General features: G+C 44.6%; 1 protein-coding gene and 2 long non-coding RNA genes across 23 annotated transcripts in view, besides 3 other annotated features; 2 read left to right on the forward strand and 1 right to left on the reverse strand.

The window, feature by feature from the left end:
* The window catches only part of ARHGAP25 (Rho GTPase activating protein 25), a 116,290-nt gene extending 111,428 nt beyond the window's left edge, over positions 1 to 4,862 (forward strand). For all 11 annotated transcript variants that reach the window (XM_011533207.4, NM_001007231.3, NM_001364819.1 and 8 more), the window contains 2 exons: positions 369 to 901; positions 4,016 to 4,862. In XM_011533207.4, the coding sequence (XP_011531509.1) occupies positions 369 to 901; positions 4,016 to 4,223 (741 nt within the window). In that variant the 3' untranslated portion in view covers positions 4,224 to 4,862. The remainder of the gene's footprint in view (positions 1 to 368; positions 902 to 4,015) is intronic.
* Positions 884 to 15,236, reverse strand: LINC01890 (long intergenic non-protein coding RNA 1890). 10 transcript variants are annotated; one of them, NR_183884.1, is made up of 4 exons: positions 14,440 to 15,236; positions 10,861 to 11,079; positions 9,389 to 9,534; positions 884 to 1,031 (listed from the first exon to the last, which is right to left on the reverse strand). It is a non-coding gene; the product is annotated as a long intergenic non-protein coding RNA 1890 (long non-coding RNA). The 10 variants fall into 10 exon arrangements; NR_183885.1 differs by lacking the exon at positions 884 to 1,031 and adding an exon at positions 7,233 to 7,524; NR_183886.1 differs by lacking the exon at positions 884 to 1,031 and adding an exon at positions 7,805 to 8,037.
* Positions 7,131 to 7,762: a transcriptional cis regulatory region, noted in NCBI's record as "candidate enhancer chr2.2482 targeted for multiplex CRISPR interference". NCBI's record gives its function as "positively regulates AAK1 gene expression with high confidence in K562 cells {active_cell/tissue: K562}" and the evidence as "EXISTENCE:mutant phenotype evidence [ECO:0000015][PMID:30612741]".
* Positions 7,131 to 7,947: a biological region, named in NCBI's record as "CRISPRi-validated cis-regulatory element chr2.2482". NCBI's record gives its function as "regulatory_interactions: AAK1".
* Positions 7,448 to 7,947: an enhancer, noted in NCBI's record as "H3K4me1 hESC enhancer chr2:69056551-69057050 (GRCh37/hg19 assembly coordinates)". NCBI's record gives its function as "activates a minimal SCP1, AML or CMV promoter by ChIP-STARR-seq in naive H9 embryonic stem cells {active_cell/tissue: H9 hESC(naive)}" and the evidence as "EXISTENCE:reporter gene assay evidence [ECO:0000049][PMID:30033119]".
* Positions 10,037 to 15,755, forward strand: LINC01888 (long intergenic non-protein coding RNA 1888). Of its 2 annotated transcripts, none has more exons than NR_183895.1 (2): positions 10,037 to 10,181; positions 15,411 to 15,755. It is a non-coding gene; the product is annotated as a long intergenic non-protein coding RNA 1888 (long non-coding RNA). The 2 variants fall into 2 exon arrangements; NR_183894.1 differs by lacking the exon at positions 10,037 to 10,181 and adding an exon at positions 12,950 to 13,263.
* Positions 15,756 to 15,996: the final 241 nt, after the last annotated feature.

Here is a 15,996-nt window from a genome sequence, read left to right on the forward strand (position 1 = left end):
CTTTTTAATTTTTTAGGTCATGGAAATCAAAAGGTCAAATTTATCAAACTTTTACGGCTTCTGGGTTTTCAGTCATAGTTATAAAGACCACCCATTCTAAGATTACATAAGGATCCTACTTTAGGACTCTTTAACCACAAACAAACACTTGATTTTGGTGAGACTTCATCTCTAGAACATGGTTCCTTTACTGCAATATCCTTTTGGAAAAAAATGCTAATGCAGATAATCAAGTAATGTGATACATTAAGAATTTCATAGGTATGCTACCAGGAAACTTTTGTTTTGGGGTCTCTAATCCATACCTTGGGAGCATGACACACAGAGGTGAAAACCCCATGTGACATCCATGGCCATTTCTTTTCTAGACAAGCGACTCTGATACAACCAGCCCCACCGGACAGCAGCCGAGCGATGCGTTTCCGGAGGACAGCAGCAAAGTACCCAGGGAAAAGCCAGGAGACTGGAAAATGCAATCTCGTAAAAGGACTCAAACACTCCCTAACCGGAAATGTTTCTTGACATCAGCTTTTCAGGGTGCCAACAGCAGCAAAATGGAGATCTTTAAAAATGAATTCTGGTCGCCTTCCTCAGAGGCTAAGGCAGGGGAAGGGCACAGGAGAACGATGTCTCAAGACTTGCGCCAACTTTCTGACTCCCAACGGACTTCCACCTACGATAACGTCCCTTCCCTGCCAGGGTCCCCTGGGGAGGAAGCCAGTGCACTCTCTTCCCAAGCCTGTGACTCCAAGGGAGATACTCTTGCCAGTCCAAACTCTGAAACTGGGCCTGGAAAAAAGAACTCTGGAGAAGAGGAAATTGATTCTTTGCAGAGGATGGTCCAAGAGCTACGAAAGGAAATAGAAACACAGAAGCAAATGTATGAGGAACAGATTAAAAAGTAAGTCAGACAGAGGGGCACTGAGAGGCACTTGGCTTCCATCTTTAGAGACAAGAGGGATTGTTCCCATCCGCCAGAGAAGTCACATCATAAAGCTTCAATTTGGGGAAGACAGTAATCTATAGCAGGCCTAGAAAGAAAAGAGTAAAGGGAACAATGAGATAGCTAAATTGGTGAACACTCTAAACTTTAAACTAGATTTAGGAAATGTAAATATCTAGCTTAAGTAGTTTAATCAATAATTTCCAAACAGTGGTTCAAGAATCAACATGCTTTAATTAATTTAAAGGAAATTAATTTTTTTTATGTTAAGGTCATTCATTGATTCTGCAAATATTCCTCGAGCCCCTCCTCTGTGCCAGGCACATTCCAGTTGTTAGGGTATAGCACTGAACAAAAGAGACAAAAGTCCCTGCACTTACAGAACTTCTAGTGGGGACAGATGGACAATACAAATATATAATAAAATATATGTTATGTCAGCTGATGGCAAGTGCTGTGGAGAAAAATAAAGTGGGTCAGGAGGTTGGAAAGTTCAAGGAATGGGTTCCAATGTAAAATAGGGGGGTCAGGGAAGGCCTCCGTGAGAAGGCAGCAGGTAAGTAAAGGCCTGAAGGAGATGAGGAGCAAGTCAGGTGTGTAGATGGGAGATGACTATGGCCAGTGCCGAGCCATGAGAAAAGAGCAGTCCCCCATGGTCCCACCCAGGAAGAGTGGAAGCTGCCTGGGGCCAGGGAGAGTGATTAGAGGAGATGAGGGTGGAGAAGTACAGGAGGCCAGGACGCAGTAGGGTTTTGTCAGCCACTGCAAAGCCTGAGTAAGAAGCTTCGGGGTGGTTTCAACCTGGTTTATGCTTCATTGGCTCACTGGCTTCCCATTGAGCACCGGCTGCAGGGGGCAAACAGAAGCGGGAGGCCAGTTAGGCAGCTATTGCCTCTGTCACATGCAAATTCCCAAGATCTGTGCACACAATTTGTTCTCTTGGGTAGATAGAGTATTTTCTTGAAATATTTTTCACACTACTGATTGGCTGGCAAATTTGTTTTCAGGAGAGAAAGCCTTGATCCAGCTGTTCCCATATCAGCACTAGTCATGAGGCAGTGAAATGTGAATTCGTGGGCTCTTAGATTTATGGCTACGTCTTAGTCCATGCAGACTCAGGTATCTGAAGGGAAGACTACTTTGAACCCTCATTCATTGTTCCACACAGAGAGCTGCCATCCAGAAGCAAAATGTAGCTTGTTTGTCTAAGAACCTGAAACCAATCATTTGTAGAATTAAAGACTTCTGTGACATCTTGGCAGTGATCAAAGCAGTCCCATAGAAGGCACACACTGCCCTCACATATGAGTATCTTCAACAGGGTAGAAAAAGAACTGGCTGCCACAGATGTGTCAGAGTCCTCTGAATCCATCAGTTGGGGAAGCCTCCCATCCCAGGCTCCTGAGCCCACACAGATTCTACCTTCCACTGGAACCCATGGTCAGGATCTAGCACAGTGCCTCACTTGGAATTTCTTCCAGAACCAGAGGGGTACAGAGAACTTGGAGAAGAAAAGTAGATTTGTAATGAGAGGGTCAGAAGGAATGGCCGGGCGTGGTGGCTCACGCTTGTAATCCCAGCACTTTGGGAGGCCAAGGTGGGTGAATCACGAGGTCAGGAGATCGAGACCATCCTGGCTAACACGGTGAAACCATGTCTCTCCTAAAAATATAAAACATTAGCCAGGCATGATGGTGGGTGCCTGTAGTCCCAGCTACTCAGGAGGCTGAGGCAGGAGAATGGTGTGAACCTGGGAGGCGGAGCTTGCAGTGAGCCGAGATCATGCCACTGCACTCCAGCCTGGGCAACAGAGCGAGACTCCGTCTCAAAAAAAACAAAAGGAAAAAAAAAAGATGGAATGAGATCAATTTAGCTTTAAGAAGAGATAGGTGGGGGTAAGCAAAGTTCTGAAGATGGATTGTTACCCACAGAATAGGCCAAGGCCCTTGAAGATAGAACCCAAGTTTTGGGCTCACATGGGAGCTCAAGTCTCCCTTGTGCAAATGGGCAGGCCATTTGGGGAGAAGGGAGGCACACTCTACAGAATGAAATTCTGAAACAAATTTCCAGTCACACAATCGGCATGTGTACACTCATTCCTAAGGGTTAATTCAGCACAGCCTGGCAGGGGGCCACCTGGCACTACATTAGGATTTGGGCCAGTAACGATTAAAATCCTAGCAATTCAGGAATCCCACAGATTTTTCACCTGGCATGGGATTCAGAAGTGAGGGTGAGACTGCCAGGACCACAGCTCCCCAAAGGGCAGTTCCCTCTGTTTCTCCAAATCTTGGTCCCCAGGAGATCCTTAATAAGAAAGGGTGCTGATCTATGCTCTCCATTGACACAGGATGAGGAGGCACTCATGAGCACAGAGGTGTGAGAAATTTGAAATATGGATGGGGCTTCCAGGACTGATACAAGGTGCTGTGGGAGTGAATATATAGATCTGTTAGAACTGGTCCCTCCTTTCAAAGACTTTGTTATCCGGTTGAAGATACAAAACATTAAACGACATGAGAAAAAACACAATAGATGTCACAAGATGGTGTTAAATGACAAATGAGGGGGCTGGGTGTGGTGGTTCATGCCTGTAATCTCAGCACTTTGGGAGGCCAAGGCAGGCGGATCACGAGGTCAGGAGATCAAGACCATCCTGGCTAACATGGTGAAACCCTGTCTCTACTAAAAATACAAAAAAAAAGAAAAAATTAGCTGGGTATGGTGGCGGGCATCTGCAGTCCCAGCTACTAGGGAGGCTGAGGAAGGAGAATGGTGTGAACCTGGGAGGCGGAGCTTGCAGTGAGCCGAGATCGCGTCACTGCACTCCATCCAGCCTGGGCAACAGAGCGAGACTCCATCCAAAAAAAAATGACAAATGAGGGGCTCAGAAGTACTGTGGGGATTCAGGTTTTCTGGGACATCTTCATGTGGGAAGAGGGACATAGCTGAGAGGTTGGATAAGGGTCTTGTGATTTGAAAGGAAAATGAGCAGCAGGTTGTGAGCAAGGGGGAAGGAAGAGTCTAGAATGAATGCCACATTCTTTCATTCTTTTCTTTCCTTCCTTGTAGCCTTGAGAAGGAAAATTATGACGTTTGGGCTAAAGTGGTGAGGCTCAATGAAGAACTGGAGAAGGAAAAGAAGAAGTCTGCAGCCCTAGAGATCAGCCTCCGCAACATGGAGCGCTCCCGGGAGGATGTTGAGAAGAGGAACAAGGCCTTGGAAGAAGAAGTCAAGGAATTTGTCAAATCCATGAAGGAACCCAAGACCGAGGCTTAAGGGTCCCAGGAGTACTGCAGGGACAGCCCCAGAGAGGCCCAACTCTGGCCCCTTTCTCAGTGCTATCTGATGACGGGGAAACAAAATTATTCTCTGAGAGGGAAAGGACATTTGAGGGAAACATCAAATTTCCCCATAAATAAATGAATGGAGTTTGCAGGAAGGTGAGGGTGAGCAGAGATGTGTGTGGACATCTCTGACCATCCATCGCTGTATTCAAATGGATTGTTTTATTCCATTCTGGTCTCAGGCATGACCACGTCCAGTGAAGACATTTGAGGCAGCACATCTCAGGACCCAGGCAATAGACTGGCCCCAACTCAGGCTGGACTAAGGTGTGATTAATTCTTTGTTTTTTGTGTGGAACAGCTCACCTTGTCAGACAGCCTCAGGGCATCTCTGAGACACAGGGGCAGAAAATGACATTCATCTTTTGAGTCCTCATCCATGGAGTGCTGTGTTTGGGGGGCTGCATCTGCTGAAGCGAGAACCCCATTCTGCCACCCCACCAGGATGCCCATTCTCCAGGACTTCTCCAACTTACTATTAGACTAAACCAGAACAAGCAACAAACTGTATTTATGCAAGCAAAATTGATGAGAAAATTATATTCAAATAAAGCAAAAATTAAAAAAAAAAGGCTATTGCTAATCCATACGGCACCTTTGTGAGAATTAGCAAAAGACACTCCTTCCTTGGGGCAGGTGGCTTGCTGAGCAGGGCATGGGCTGAATTTCAGTCCTGACTTGCCTTTCAGGGACAGGTGTTTCTATACTTGCGGAGCCCCCATTTCTTCTGTATTTCACACAATTGCTGTGGGAATTACATGAGAAGAGGTAATCTAGTCCCTACTTGCTTTTTAATTGTGTATGGAGGGCCTGGGAACAAACGCTTCCTACTATGATAGGATTTGTTGTGGTTTTAGACAGTAATTTTCATGATAATAGTTTCTTTTTTCCTGTTTCACCAAAATGCAAGTGATTTTACCCTTAAAGGGACAACAGGCACTAGATGATAGGTGGGAGAGGGGCTTTCCCAGTGGACAGCTGATTCTTCCCCTTCTATGTCAAGCCAGCTTGGCAGAGGCCCTGGTCAGGCCCCGGACCTCTAGGTAGGTTGGTTGAGTCTTTTTTTGTTGTTATCATTCTAATTGGATGGTCTCCAAGCTCTTTTGACTGGGTAACTCATCAACAGAAAATGTTTGAGCATACACCCCCCAATATATTTATTTATTTATAAATTATATATATGTACTACTATAGTACTCCATAATGTATATTATAAAATTCACAGAACAGTAACTGAATAATGATGAGATAAAAACAAAGATCAATAGATGTTCCCAAGTGTGCTTTCAGCTCCGGAGACCCCTGACCCAGTTGCCCAGGAGGTATTACCTGTACCAAATTTATATCTTTCATCCCACTGCTCCCATAAATGTGCTTGAACTCTTGAAGCCCCGTGGCTTAATCAGTGGTTTGGAATCTATGGTTGCTGCAGTGAGAGTTTAGCCTTCCCAGCACATGGGCCTCCTCTGTCATTCCTTTTTCTCTCTGTCTTCTTCACTCTGGTTAGTCCTCCCTTCCTATGGCCAGGACTTATTACCCACAGAGTGAAAGTACAGACAGTAGCATCAGCATTTCTTGGTCCTGCTACTCAGGCCCTGCTCTACCAACGCCAGCCCCTTTGAGGACCAGATTGATGGAGAAGGAGGGCGACTCCTACGGCATTCCTATCTAGGCCTGCTTGCAGAAGATTGAGGGGAAACTCATCTGGAACATTCGTAAGAAAAGCAATAAAATATTGGGATTCCTGAGTTTTAGGTGTTTTTAAATAACAGGATAGCAAACATGGAAACACTTATTGACCACCTGACTTACGTTGGCGAGTGCCTGCATTTCTGCCAGGCACATATCCTTGTGTTCTCCCACGGATTCCTCACACTGACTCTTTGGGGGCTAAAACAGAGTTGAATATGGAAGTGGCTGCTGTCACAATTTCCAAAGAAAACATTTGTCTGAAGATGCAAAGAGGAGGCTCTCAAGTCTGTTTTGAGGCCCGTGTCATTGGCCCTTACTGGGTCCGGGAGCCAGAGCTCGTGCTGAGTGGAAGTGCCACGTTTGAATCCCAACTACCTCCTGGTCTGGCAGTGTCTCTCATTCTACTTTTTTCCACCAGTATTATGAGACAACAGAGCAGCTGTTGGCCTCAGAAGCACTAGACAGCCTAGCCTGCAAGTGTCAATCCCTCTTCACAATCAAGAGAAGAGTTTGGCTCGCTTAAGTTGCTACTATTTGCTCCTGTGCCACCTTGCATACAAGGAGAAGACAAGAAACAGGGTTTTTTTTTAGGACCCTGGGACCTTATGAGTGCAAGGGTCACACAAACCCCTTCATCCTGCTGAAAAAGGCTGGGAGGAGGGAGCCCCTGAGGGCCAGAAAAGAAGATCTGGAGTCTGATGGCACTGTTTTAATGCCCTCAAAAGGCATGCATGTGATTGCATGACAGGGTAGCTCCAGGTCTCACCTGGACCAAAGGACCAGGTTCTAGAAGGCAATATCTGGAGACTGACCTGTGTCAAGGGGTGCTGTTGGACTCTGCAGCTCCTACCTGTACTTTCAGAGCCCTTCCATGGAAAGGACTCCATCAACTTTGCCTTTTTCCCAGCCACACCCTCACCTTTATGTTAGCCGCTCTCCTCTTTGCTCATGAGCTGAGAACCCAGAAAGGTCATCAATGTGCATTTGAAAACCCCTTGCCCTCTTCCCTCCCAAACTCCTTTTCTGTCACAGCCTCAAGCATGTCCCTTATCAGGGTACTCTTATCTTAAGTTTGGGGCAGATATGATGCTTTTCCAGTAAGTCTGTACACTGGATAGGACAATTTGTACTAGGGTATTGGCTGGGATGATCCCCTTCCAGTGGATTCTGTTCAGAGCCTGCAGTCTGGAGAGACCATGTGTGGCATTCCTAGTGCATAGACAGCTGCAAAGGATGTAAACTATAAACATTTTGTTGTTGTTGTTGTTTTGACCAACTTCCTAAAACTCTGCTCAAAGGCCTGTCCCCTCAGAAAAGCACGAAGCCGGAGATTCCCAGGCTGCCCAAGGCCGCTGAGAGGGGGAGGCCAGAGAACACAGTGGCACAGCAACTGCTGGCTGGATTCCACGGGCTCTGGGCCAGAAGATGCGTGTACACGAACGCCCTGTAAACTTCCACATTCCACCACTTCCTTTCCAGATAGCAGCAGTGGTCAGGTCACGTGCTTGCCGGAGAGCAGAGAAAACACTTGGAGGCTGCTTCTGCAATTAAAATGGGCTGCATTTACAAGAATTACACAAAACCTTTCATCCTGCCAGAGAATGATGGGAGGGAGGCCCTGAGGGTGGAGCTCCAGCTGCCACTCAGAAGCTCAGGGTGGCATCTGGCCAGCAGCAGCAGAGAGGCTGGAGCCAGGGGGCTTGTGGCTCAGATGATGTCCCAGGAGAGAATATCGACACAGCTGTGTAACTGTAGCTTCTATTTCTTCTGATGCTGGAAACTCTCTTAGAATCATAGGATAAAAACTGGAAAACACTCTGATTGTATTTAATTCAACCTGTTTATTTAACGGACAGGGGAACTGAGGCCCAGAAACATAAATTAAATGGCCAGTGCTCACACAGAAATTAGGAAGAGGATTGAAGGAGGTGATTTTGGAGGGCTCCTCTAACCCATGATTCAGTGATTCTTGTGGTTCTTGCTTTCTCTCCAAGGGTTCTTTCCCCCAAACTGCAACCATGGTGTGAACCCCATTGAACATCCGTTGCTGAGTGCTTCCAGAATATAGAGCTCTCCTCAGCTCATGATCACAACCAAGACCCACCTAATATGATGCCAGTTTTTCACCTACTGTGTATTCCCAATACTATTTTAAAACACTGGTTCTCAGTCTTGGTGGCACAAGAGAATTACCTTAGGAACTGTAAACAAAAATTCTGATGCTCAGATCTTACTTCATATCAATTGAATCAGAATCTTTCGGGATGGGGCCTAAGAATTGGTAGTTAAAAGAAAAATTCCCAGTTGATTCCAATATACAATCAGGATGGTTAAATAGTTTTAAAACTGCTAAGTTTGGCTTTAGTCATGACTAATGGTAATATTAATTCTACCTGCTCCCCTTTCCCATCTCCAGTTAACACAGCTACATTCTCTGATTTACAGGCTGATTTTTCATGTGTTTATTCATCTAGGATAAGACATGATTAAGTGATACAGAATGGATTTATGTTATATGCCCATTATGCAGATGGTGAAAAGTGAGCCCAAAATTTTTTTAAAAAATGAGTATAACAGTAGCTTAGTATGAACAAATCCAAGGATTTTGAGAATTCCTAAATATATGGGGACACTGTTTACTTGCTTTAAGGATTGACTCTAAACATAGGCAAAGAAGATAAGCACTTGAGGGCCTGATTTAAAGAGTCCCGAGAATAGCTCTGATGAAAATCATCTCTTTTTCAGACTCATGTTAGATTGAGAAATCCCTACCAGTAGCCTTTGGAATATTAACCACAAACGTGATATTTCTGGGAGACTCCATGAAGCCTCCATTAATCGTTAGTATCATCTTTATATTAGTTATCTGCTTCCCAGCAGAAAGCTGTGTAATGAAGGAACGAGAGCCTGGCCAGATAAGCAGTGCTGTGGGTGGAGGAACAGATCAAGAGTATGGATGTTGGCCAGGCACAGTGGCTCACGCCTGTAATCCCAGCACTTTGGGAGGCCGAGGCGGGCAGATCACGAGGTCAGGAGTTCGACGCCAGTCTGGCCAACATAGTGAAACCCTGTCTCTACCAAAAATACAAAAAATTAGCCGGGTATGGTGGTGTGCGCCTGTAATCCCAGCTACTCTGGAGGCTGAGGCAGGAGAATCACGTGAACCTGAGAGGCGGAGGTTGCAGTGAGCCGAGATCTCGCCATTGCACTCCAACCTGGGTGACAGTGGGAGACTCTATCTCAAAAAAAAAAAAAAAGTATGGATGTTACCTAGGAGTATTGCAGTGTGGGCCCCTGGCTGCCTTAGGTGGGGTGAGGGTGCAAAAATCAGGCCTTAAAAAGGGAAACGGGGACTCATCATCAGGGTGGACGGAGAAATGGTTTGCCCCCACATACACCTGATACCTGCTCAAAGTTGGCACTTGTCCTCCTTCCTTCTCTCTGTTCTCCCTTATTGATGTCCTTTCAGTCCTGCTGAGGCCAGCCCATGCTAAACATCACCCTGGTTCTTGGGTCTTTGTTCAGCATCAGTAGCAATATCATGACAATAACTACCAATAATAAGCAACAAATACCATTTTAATACTTTCTGGTGAGCACTGTATCCATGTCATTTCCTTTAAATCTCAAATCAACTCTTTTCTGATTGCAATCAAACCTGTTTTACTGAGGTCTCAATGTGGCTTAGCTAGGAACTGAAGCGTATATACAGTCTACACAAGGCTACATTATCCTTGCCCTCACATAGGGAGGAAGTACAACATAGAAAATGACCCCTTGGCAGAGATGGACTAAAGCAAAATCTGCAAAGACTTTTTCTTTAAAAGGCTGGCAGGGATTCTGGAAAGAACCACTAACTGCCTTGTCTGACTCAGCATCAAGATGGAAAAATATACAGAGGCTGTTGCCTTCCCCACAGCCTAAGTCAAATCCACCTGCTTGCTCTGAGGCTGTCTGGGAGGCCACACATCACCATGCCCTTTCCTGGAGTCAATTCTTGGTCCCATGTCATTAGCCCCACCCTCGAAAGAACTCTGGGAATGGGGTTGCCTTGGAGTCCCCGGTTCCGTGTGGCTAAAGAGTGAGCCTCTCATATCTCCATGCTGAATTTCCTCACTCATTCACAACCCTCCTTTCCATTTCAAGAAATCTTTCTGTTCCCACAAGCCTGGGAGGGCCTTTGAGTGGGGCATATTGGGTAAGTTTGAAGGAGTACTGCCAGTGAGACCTTCAAAAGACTCTGTGTGAATGGGCTGGTGTTGGTGGGAGGAAACAGGGTCACAGATTCCCCTTCCCTTCCCCCTTGTAAGATGTGTCATCAGTTAAATATAGGCTCTGGCCCTGTGGACGTTTACAGGCTAAGACAGCCCGCCCTGACTGGGGCTCACAGCTTCTGAGAGGAGGACACTGGGATGTCTTCAGCCCATTTCACGTGGGCTGACTGTTTCCAAAACACTCCTGGTGGGTCAGCGAGCAGAGGAAGTGTTACCATGTGATCACTTTAGAAACACCCACCTAATGACGCACTAACACGGATTTGCCCTCTGTTTTTCACATTTGATCATTCCTGACACTTTGGCGAGGAAACAAAACCCTATTTCTCTTAGAAGTCACTCCTTCCCTGGATGTGAAAGAGGGCAGTGGTTTCCCTGTCAGTCCTCTTTTAGGGAAAGATCTGGGTGAGCACATGACCCAGCTCAGCTGGTCTGGGGCTGGACACAGACACAATTGTGAGAACTTGAACTGACTCACCAGGAAGCAGGTGGTTGGGACTAGGTACTGTTGTCTATTTCAGTGCTAGATATTGCCTTTAATGAAAAACTAGCCCCAATCAGAAAAAAGCCAACACCACGCTCTGCAATACTAAGTTGACTCACCTGTTGAAATGCTGTTTATTAAGCAAAACCAGTATCCTCAGAATTCCAGCTTTCACTTTCAAGTTTCTTATGTGGGATTTCATAGTATTGGGCCCAGTGATGTGTACATCAATGGTTTGGCTTGCTGTTTATGCTACTTATTTACTCGAGCAGTCACTCTGGTGTGTTCCCATGGCTTTTCTGAAAGTATTAGAATACAGCTCCCAAAGAATGTGAGTGCTATTGGAGAAATAAAATACATGGAAATCATATGGCATCCAGCAATTGCTATGCCTATCTTGAGATAGCTGATCCCTAGATAAGCTTGGTAGTTGTGTTACCAATGATGTCTTTTCTTAGTACACATAGATTGTACTCAAGGAATAGCAAAATGTTACAACACTGATTCTTCCTCCTATAGTTAATGGCATTTTAAAAGAGTTATGCTTGACTAAAGACATAGTTTTTAAAAATGCAAATATTGAGTGCTTTCAATTCCCTAAGCATGGTGTTTTCTGCTTTACCTGCAATGTATTAATTAATTTTCACAGAAAACTATGAGGCAGCGGCTACTATCATCCCCATTTTACAGATGAGAAAACCGAGACTTAGAAAGGTTAAGTAATCTGCTCAGGCTCACAGTTCATATCCCATTTCTAAGAGACATTTTTTTTTCATTCTAATACTTTTGAAATTCAGTATGTATTTTATAGTTGATTGGTGCATTTAAAATGGAACATCTTACAAATTGATGGCTACTTAGAACTGAGAAAATATAACTGACAGAAGCAAGCATCAAAACCACGTCTACCTGATTCTAGTATTGGATCATCCAACCACAGTGGCTTGAGTGTCAAAGGAAACAACCTGTGTCTAAGTAATGACCATAAAAGTAATAACTAGTCCACATTCACATTGAAGATAATGGTTCATATTCTTCCTATTTGATACTATTTACTCTATTAGAAAAATTGTCTGGTTTGGTCCGTTCAATTAGATTTATCTATTTATTTTTTGTAGAGTATCATCAGTTAAACCTCCTAACCTCTGGGCCACCCCACCCAGTATAAGCCATAAGATATGGCTCATATTCTTCCTACCTATTTGATACTATTTATTCTATTAGAACAATTGACTGGTTTGGTTGGTTCAATTAGATTGATGTATTTATTCTTTGTAGAGTATCATCAGTTAAACCTTTTTTGCTGAGAAAGCTTCAGGCTTTTCATTTCTATAATGAGAGTTGTTTTCAAAACACATTTAAATAGTCAAGAGCCCAGGCATGGGTATGGTCACAAGCAGGAGGGTCTGAAGCTCCCTGAAGTTTGAGTTCACAGCGCCATGGCTCCTGCCGTCCTTCCAAGGAGAGAGCAGTCACGTCAGTTGCCTTTGGTTCTTGTCTGACTGAGGAGAGATGCTCTATACGTGGTTTTGGTAATGACAGCATGTCTCTAACTCGAGATTAAGTTTCTGTCCTCTGAAGATCTCAATGTAATTCATTACAGAAGTGCTTCCCAAAGCTTCTCCTTGGAAGGCTTTTCTTTACACGATATACTCTTTGAACAATGGATGCTATGCTTAAATAAGTTTATAACACCCTCTTCCCCCTCAAAGATTCAGAAGTCAGGGCAACCACATCATATTGGGAGTCTAATTTGTAAGTCGATAAGATAAAAATCCCTTTGGTCAAAATTATCCTTGAAAATCACCAGAAATTGTATATAAGGTCCCCCAATTTATAGCTTTATGTGTACACCCTGGTCACTAAGGTGTGAGTGTAGTTATAAATTACTGTTAATGATGAGACTAAGAATACGGACCACTAGGATTGCTATTTTCTTTCCCTGGCATCCTCATTTAAATTGTTATTTTTATTTTTCATCTAGTGTATAGTTTGATTCATAGAATTTAAATGCATATATTAAATTAAAAGTAGTAATTATTATAGTACTAATAATAGTAATAATCATTGACATTTATTGGGGGCTAGCTATTGCCTGCCAGACTGCTCTAAGTGCTTTATTTGCATGAACTGAGTTAATCTGAACAGAAACTTCAGGGCTGGACACTATATTCCCTTTTTACAACAAAGTCACTTGCTTCTGCTTTTACTCGTGCCTTTGGCGACACAATGACTCTGCAAATTGTCCTGTGCCCAGAGGAAACATTTTTCTGAAAACTTCTGCGCTGGGGCAGATTTAGGGCAAAGTTAACACTTCAAAAATATCTCCAGTAATTGAGTAAATTGCTCATCTGTCAAATTGGCTCTTTGGCAAATTACTCTGCTTGCACATATTAATAGCCAAGCTTAGCCAACTTGAAATATGGAGATTTACTGGAAATCACAGTGAAGTGAAGAGAGAGGCAAGAGCAGAATTGAAATTCCCACCTGGCAGCAAAAGAGAGTTATGCAGAGCCTATCAGGTAAGGCAGAAGCACTTCCTGGACCGCTCAACTGAAGGGCACAGCCAGCAGTGAGGTGGGGTGGCCCAGAGGTTAGAAACCCCACAGAGAGAATCAGAGGGAAGCTGGAGGCAGAGGGAGTGCGCCATTCGGAATTCCAGGGGTTGAGGACCTCTAGGTCCCAGGTACAGTTGTAAGGCTGGGGGCAAAAAGTTGCTCCTGCCAGGCACTGTGGCTCACGCTTGTAATCCCAGCACTTCGGGAGGCCAAGGCAGGCAGATCACTTGAGGGAGTTTGAGACCAGCCTGGTCAACGTGGTGAAACCCTGTCTCTACTAAAAATACAAAAATTAGCTAGGCGTGGTGGCACATGTCTGTAATCCCAACTACTCAGGAGGCTGAGGCAGGAGAATCACTTGAACCTGAGAGGAGAAGGTTGCAGTGAGCCAATATTGTGCCACTGGATAATCTTGGCTGTGGGGTCAGAGTGAGACTCTGTCAAAAAAAAAAAAAAAAAAAAAAAAAGAAGAAGCAAAGCAGCTCCAGGCCAGCTTTCTTCCCTGCCAAGGCACAGTCAGCTTCCTAAACCTGCAAGGCTGCATCAGTCTAGAGTAGGCACTATTTTCAGCTCGCATCAAGGAGCCATAGAGGCAGCTGAATGATTCTCCAACAGATGGTCTCAGTAGAGTAGAAATGACAGTGTAGCACATTGACAATGAGGAAGTTAAGGTGTGCCACAGTTGTTAATGGAACCTAAGTAAAAACTCAGAGACAGAGGAGTTTAAGGGAGTCTTAGCTCCCCAGAGATTTCTAAGAAGCCCACCTAAAAAAATCTCTTGATTAGTAAATGAAACTATTATTATTGTTATTATTACTAATGGTAGATGAGAAGATATTTTTGTAGATAATGAAGTCAATATCAGAAAGATTTAGTAGTGGACAGATTCAGTAGGCTGCAAAATTATAAGGTCAGACTTCCAATTCTAAAATGACTTCCTTAGCCTAGTCCAGGTGGAGGGTGGTGCTGGTTAAGTTTAAACACAGTATTACCTTGTGAGAAGTGTTCCAAGTTTTTAATTGTCTACTTCCAGGTGTACTACACATCTAATAGAACTACCACACTCCTCTCTGCCTTATAAACCTTTGCCTACCAACAATACAAGCTCAGATTCCTTCCCTGAGTGTAGTGGGTACTTACAGAATGGTCGGTCCAGGTTCCTTTAGTAGAACCTGCTACCACGTGCATATCTACATACACCCTTTGTCCTTGTGTTACTGTGGAAGCTGCTTTGTCAACTCAGTCTGTTCCTCAGCCACAGATTTGTTTTCTTTCCTTGGGACCCCAGGACAAATGCCATGATGATACTGTTGCAGGAGCCAGCAGTCAGCTGCTTAAGGTTGTCTCTTCTGTCCACATCTTTGTGCCATTCTTTGGCTAGCAATGTAGGTGCCAGTCAGGGTCATCCTATGAAATATCACATTCCTTGCCTGTAAACTGTGGTAGTGGGGAGGCCTGGCCTACTCACTGCACAAGACCGTCTTTAGGACAAAATAGGCTACTATGGATGAAAGGGCCACATCAGGGGTGTCCAGTCTTTTGGCTTCTCTGGGCCACATTGGAAAAGAAGGATTGTCTTGAGTCACAAATAACATACACTCACACTGATGATAGCTGATGAGAAAAAAAAATCTCATAATGTTTTAGAAAGTTTACAAATTTGCGTTGGGCCACATTCAGAGCTGTCCTGGGCCATACACAGCCCGCGGGCTGCAGGTTAGACAAGCTTGGGCTACATGGTACCAGTGTTAGCGTGAGGATGAGGGTGTATTGCACTTCATAACCCCCAATATAAGGATTCTCCTTAAAGCAGTCTTTCTGCCCTGTTTGCCTGGTGGCACTCCGCTCTCACAGTGAGACTTGCCACTAGGAAGGGTGGAAATTCTTCCCAGCTCCTCTGAGTAGTGGGGCTCGAGGATGAGGGTCCATGCCATAGTGAGAGCCTCTAGGCCTCTGACGCAGACTGAGAAAATGGGCTGTGACGACACAAAGCCACTACGGGAAGTCTCAAGTCCTTGACCCAATGTGCACATTCCGAGCTTCCGGTGCAGCAATGAGCTGACACAAACCGTGGCGGCCTGAAGACCTGGACCTTCCATTTTGCCTTTCAGGACCCGTGTTCACACCAGCACTTAGTTTGGAGGAAGCACCTGGAGGAGATGCAGAGTCCAGATGTGCGCCCTCTGCCGGAAGCCTACTGCACCAGGACGTAGGCCTGGAGTGGCCCTTAACGCATTTGGAAATCAGTCTTCACTAAAAAAACTTCCTCCAAAATGTTCTTTAACAGCCCTTTAAAAGCCATTGTTTCAAAACAGTCCAAGGTGGTGAACAATTAATATTTTCGATTTACATGAAGACTCTGGAGTAGGAATTACCTGAGTTGGAAACTCAGTTCTACTCTATTGGTATCAGGTTGCATTCTGTATCATCATTAAAATTTTCAGAAAAACTCTCAACCTCGGTGCATTAGTTTTCTAGGACTGTCATAATGAAGTATATCACAGATTCTATGGCTTGAGCAATAGAAATTTATTTCCTTGCCATTCTGAGTCTAGAAATCTGAGATCAGGGTGTTAGCAGGATTGGTTTCTTCTGAGGCCTCTCTCCTTGGCTTGCAGAAGAAGCATAGTTGACCTCTCCCTGTGTGTTCACATGGTCAAACCACTGTGTACATCTGAATCCCAATCTCTTCTTGTA

This window comes from Homo sapiens, chromosome 2 (genome assembly GCF_000001405.40).
Source record: "Homo sapiens chromosome 2, GRCh38.p14 Primary Assembly".
Classification (NCBI taxonomy): Eukaryota; Metazoa; Chordata; class Mammalia; order Primates; family Hominidae; genus Homo; species Homo sapiens.